The sequence below is a fragment of the Homo sapiens genome, chromosome 8 (genome assembly GCF_000001405.40).
Source record: "Homo sapiens chromosome 8, GRCh38.p14 Primary Assembly".
NCBI classification, from domain to species: Eukaryota; Metazoa; Chordata; class Mammalia; order Primates; family Hominidae; genus Homo; species Homo sapiens.
In genome coordinates, this window is record NC_000008.11 from 89,832,508 (window position 1) to 89,838,514 (window position 6,007).

Consider the following 6,007-nt stretch of genomic DNA (forward strand, 5'->3'; position numbering starts at 1 on the left):
TGGCTCATGGATTTGTCACTCAAGGCTGTGATACAAAACACATTATCAAGCTCACCAGGCTGCCTCTTTCATTCAGTGGAAGAGGGCTGTAAAGGATACCATATTTGCCTACAAATGTTAACTAGCTCATTTGCTCCTGCATCATTGGCAGCACTTCATGAATGTCATAAATACCAACAGGCATTTCTATTGCCTCTTTTATAATAAGTTTATTGAGATATTTATACTTTTCTACCTAGAGATGTTTTTGATTATCATCAGTGCTACAAATTGGGATAACTGCAGTAGTAGATCCCAAGAGATTTCTATCCTGATAATTGGGGGTGGGAGTAGATGTGTTTCTTAGTTGGAAGGCACAGTTAAAAGTAATTTTAGTGGGCACAGTGCATCCACCTATAGTCTCAGTCACTCAGCAGGCTGAGCTGGGAGGATCGCTTTAGCCCAGGAGTTTGAGCCCAGCCTGGGTAACACAATGAGACCCCATCTCAAAAAATGATAATAAATAAATAATAATTTTAGTTTCCCATTCACTTGATGCTTTTCATGATCAAGCGAAGGTTGGGCTAAAGATTCCAGTATTAGGAGGTTCCCAAAGACAGTTGAGAGTTGTATTTTCACGGGATCAATTTTCCTGGGGCTTAGGGCGATCTTAAAAGTCACAATCAGCTCTGAATTTGTTGCTACACAAGCAAAACTAAACTTATAAATCTGGACCCATTGCTATATATCACCTACATAACAAGATGGGGCCATGCAGTGGAGTAGAATAAGGTGACCATAACGGAAGAAGCTGTAAACATCTTACACTGGAAAAATAGTGGAATAAAGAGCAGTGTCAGAGAAAATAGGCCATGTGGTAGCTCCAACATTTATGTAATCATTTATTTTGCTTCCTTGTATCCCTAGCTAAGCCTCTTCTTCCTCTGTGTGTGTGTGTGTGTGTGTGTGTGTGTGTGTGTGTGTGTGTGTTTGGTTGTGTATCCTCTTCCTGATAAGATTCCCTCTTTACACCGGTACAATCAACTCCTTAATTGGAATTAGAATTTCTCTGTCTGGAATTTATACATATATCTTAGGATTGTATTTACCAGTAAAAAAAGCCCTTCAAGTTTACAAAGACTATATGGTAAGAAATCTAAGCTTAATTTTCCTTTCATTGCACTACTTGACTTACAACAGTAACCATGCAAATGGATTTATGCTTCAATGTGTAAAATGAAAGGACTTTCCTCCTTCACTTCGCACATGTACACATACACATCTGAAGGCATTTAGCAATGTGTCCAGCACAAAACAGACACTTAATTAATGTTACTTTCTGTTTCCTTTTGAAGAACAGTGTGTTAGCCACCTACACAACACATTAAGGAATTAATGGGCAAAGCAAAAGGCCAAGAGAGAATAGCTCAGTAGTTAGAAATATGAGCTTCGGTATCAGACCGGATTTTGAATTCTGGCCTTACCATTTAGCAGCTCTCTGTCCTTAGAAAGATCACTTAAACTCTGATTCTCAGTTTCCTCTGGTACAAAGTGAGGATAATACTACTTAGGCCATAGAATGTTTGTTAAAAGTAACAAGCTATTGCATGCATGCAACACACAAAGCACAGTTCCTAGAATATAATATGTACTCAATTATGAAAAGAATTTTAATTTCTTTTTAAAACGGCATACCCACTAATCATTAGAGTAAAACACAAATCAAAACCACAATGAGATGTCACCTCATACCCATTAGGATGGCCACTATCAACAAACCAGAAAATAACAAGTATTGGTGAGGATGAGGAGACATTTGAGTCTTTGTGTACCGCTGGTAGAAATGTAAAATGGTGTAGCTGCTCTTGAAAACAGCATGATTCCTCAAAAAACTAAAGACAGAATTACCATGTGAGGTAGCATCCCACTTCTGGGTATAAATACAAAAGAATATAAAGCAAGAGCGCAAAGAGGTATTTGTACACCTATATTCAATGCATCATTATTCACAAGAGCCAAGATGTGGAAGTAGCCTGAAATTCCGTTTATAAATGAATGGATAAAGGAAACGTGTCATATACATATTTAGCCTTTTAAAAAAGAAGAAAATTTTGTTATATGCTACAACATCGATGAACCTTGAAGACATTATGCTTAGTAAAATAAGCCAGTCACAGAGGAACAAATACTGTATAATTCCACTTATGTAGAGCTATGTAGAGTAGGGGAAACCACGGAAACAGAAAGTAGAATGGTGGTTTCCAGGAGCTAAGGGGAGGGTGAAATGGGAGTTGTTATTTGATGGGCAAAGGATTTCGGTTTTGCAAGATGAAAAAGTTCTAGAGATCTGTTACCCAATAATGTGGATACAGTTAACACTATTGTAATAGTGCACTTAAAAATGGTTAAGAGTATAAATTTATATTATGAGTTTTTCACCACAATTTTATCAAAAAAAATAGGGCATACTGAAAAAAAAAAAGTGCATCTTTAAGGATGTTCTCTCTAGCTCTTCTCCAACGCCAGAATACAGAATGAGGAGGAGAAAGGAGACATGAAAATAAAGAAAGTCAAAAACCATTTTTACCGTTCTTAAATTATGTTTATGGGATTCCTTCAGGTTAATGAGGAAAGAAAAATCTGTGTAACTGACAGCAAAAGCTAATTCGAAGCATCCTTTCTCCCTCAGCTTTGGGAATACTCAAAAGAGGGGACTAGAAATCACCCATTATAGATAAGAAAAGTCTGCGAATGTATTTATACAAATGCTTTGCCTTTGAATTGGAAGTAAGAATAGTTAAAAGAGAGGAAACAAAACTTTGAAAGGGAGGGAAGGAAGAAGGCACTGTAGAAAAATCTTACAGTTTGGAGTCAAGATGAGGAGTTTGAATCCTCTTTCTACTTGGTTATCCTCTCTGTGGATGACTTTGTCAGTAAAAATGGTGATGTTCATACTTTCTAACAGAGGTGTTGTGAGAACTAACTCAAGATATTATGTTTGAAATGTTCTTTTCATCTCATGAAACATAATCCACATTTTACTTGTGATTTTACAGACGGCAAACAGTAGCTAATTACCACCCCAAGGAAAAACAGTAAGTAATTTCTACCTTCCTGCTCACGGGGCTGTAATCATTTATATTTTGACACTTGTTGCTAGTCTTGTTAATGAATGTCAATATTAATTCAGTATGGGAAAGTGTGGGAAATTTCTATCTTCAAAGTGAAAATGTGACAACATACCCCCTGGGCATTAAAGGAAATAAAGCATTCTTACTAAAACAAGGAAGAAATTTAATGTTTCTTAAGGGCAAATAAGTATCTCAAATCATAGCTCAAGAATGTGACTCTATTCATGGTTCTCCCTTTTTCTACAGATAATCTAAAATATTTACAAAAGGTAATAACCAAATTCACTTCCAAAGACAAAGGAGGGAATTTCACCATGAAAGAGAGGAAATGAAAGAATTTTTGAACAATGAGGCTGATAGAACTATGGATTTTTTCCAAAAAGGAAATAATTAAATTTTTTTCCTTGGGGTTTTTAATTAAAGGTCCTCCACATCCTAAAGTATGATGGGGGTAATGTCCGTCGGAATACCTCTTGGAGTTAGTTCACAATACTGAGAATTAATGTTTCCTAAAATTGTGTTTCAGTAATGCTGCTTTCTATGTTTTCTTTTTTCTTGTATGTTGTAGCTTCAACAACAAAATACACTTAGTGGCTTTACTACTCTTGACTAACAGATTTGGGTGTTGAACAAGAAAAAACAGAAGAAAAATCTAAGTAGAACTCACTGGATATTAACAACCATGTGCCATTTTCTAAAATAGCTCAGACTTGTCTATAGCCTTGTTTCTTTTGTTTTGTTTTGTTCTCGCTCTGTCGCCCAGGCTGGGGTGCAATGGCACCATCTCAGCTCACAGCAGCCTTGGCCTCCTGGGTTCAGGCTCAGGTGATCCGCCCACCTCAGCCTCCTGAAGGGCTGGGATTACAAGCATGAGCCACCATGCCCAGCTATAGTCTTGTTTCTTGATCAGTTTTGTTTGTTGGTTTGTTTTATTGGCAAAGAGAACTCATCAGATAGGGTGTGTGTGTGTGTGTGTGTGTGTGTGTGTGTGTGTGTGTGTGTGTGATAACCCTTTCTCTGCTGGAGTTGGTTTACTTTACTACTGAAATTTTTAAAATATTTGATTAAATATTTTATATTAATATTTATTTTTGCTTTATTTTAACATGAAAATTCAACCAGTATAATTTGGGTGGGGGGGAGGTGCATACTTAATATTAAAAGCACTCGCTTATGATCTTAATGAGTTCATTAAAGGAAAGTTATTAAGTAATATTACCATAGTAAAAGTAAAGTAAGTAAATGAAAGTTCAGCTCTATCTTCCAGTGGTTATTGCTTTTATTAGCTCACAATGAACCAACATTAGCTTCTTTTGCTAGTGTCTCTGAATACTAACAGTAAAGCAGTTCTGCTGGTTTCCACTTCACTGATCTACTCTTGATTTACATCAACGGTGAACCTTTCACTTAGTTACCTCTTTAGACTTGCTTTCCACACATCCTGTTTATGTGCAGTCAGCAGGAAGAAAACAAGAATGTGGATATGAGCAGGAAGAGAAAGATGAAGAAATAAAATGCTTTCAGAAAAGTAGAAATTTCTATGAAAGTCCCCAGCATATTTTTTTTAAACACTGGAAACGGTCTTTGTGAATCATCCAATCTGACTGTTTGTTAGCTGTCATCCAGCAAATCCTTGAAGATGAGGAACTTGAACGTTTAAATAGAAGTCGATGACACATTCTTTGTCATGTTTTCCTATTTCTCTAACTAAAACAAGAGTTTGCCATGGAGATGTTCTTGAATTAGGCTTCACATCTGTGGCATTATGGTTTACAGAAATAAACCAGACTCCCTAGAATTGGAGTCTGGATTCTAGCTAGACATGACTGTCCAGTGATGTGACCTTGGGCAATTTTCCTTAATTCACAAGGCCTTACGTACCCTCTGGAGTTACCTAAAATCTCTACCTTTAGAGATTAAGGGATATTGAATTTCACAAGAATTCATAAACCCATAAACAAGAATTCCAGAGATGAAGGCATCAGATTGATTGCCCTATTGGATCAGGAAGAGGCAGAAAGCTCCACCATGAGGTGTGGGAATAAAGAGCAGATACAGTTGATTGAGGTTGAGCGTGTCAATGAAAGCAGAAATGTGGTGGGGTATCCTGGCATCTGTATACTGCTCTTCTTTACCCCAAGGACATTCACGGTTGGCTGAGATGCCTGGGAGTGACATGGCTTGAGAGCAGGTTTTTGAAGGATGAAAAGAGGATATTTGCCTAAAAGTGTCACCAGGAAGCAAAGAGAAAGCCATTGTCCTTGTACTTGGCAATAAAGTTCAAGAGTAAGACTATATCTGAGATTGCAAAGAAAGAATAGCAGGTTAAATATGGAGGCATGGACAACATTATAAAAAGTGTATCTTTGTTCAAGTAACACATACTCATTGTTGAAAAGTTAAAAGGTACAGATAATCACAAAATAAACTCACTACAGATAAGTGCAGAAAAAATAAGCACTGTGAACATTTTGCTGCACATCATTGCAGGCTTTTCATAGATAAACCTTCTGCAGGTGTAAAAAGTATCAGATTCAAATATCTGTGGGTTGTGCTTGCTAGACAACTCTTAAGCTGTGTATTGTTAAAATAAACCTTATATAATGTATTGTAGCTTATTGTGAAAGGGTCAAGAAATCAAGATAGCTGTTTCTCTTATTTCCATTAAAAATCTATTCATTTCATGTTAGGAGGACAGTTAACTTGTTACCAAGCAGAACTGTATTTAAAACAAATTCGAAAACTATTCATAACCTATATGTATTTAGTCCTGGTTAGACATAAAGCTTCACAGTGCTGTTTTATGCATCACATTAACCAGCTATAAAACACACAGGACTTTATCTATAGCAGACAGAGAATTTCAGGATTTATATACAGATACCCTACAAAGTCAT

At 36.6% G+C, this 6,007-nt stretch overlaps 1 annotated feature.

Annotated features, from left to right (window-relative positions):
* Window positions 4,641–4,740: an enhancer, noted in NCBI's record as "active region_27607". NCBI's record gives its function as "activates an Ori minimal core promoter by ATAC-STARR-seq in GM12878 lymphoblastoid cells {active_cell/tissue: GM12878}" and the evidence as "EXISTENCE:reporter gene assay evidence [ECO:0000049][PMID:35858748]".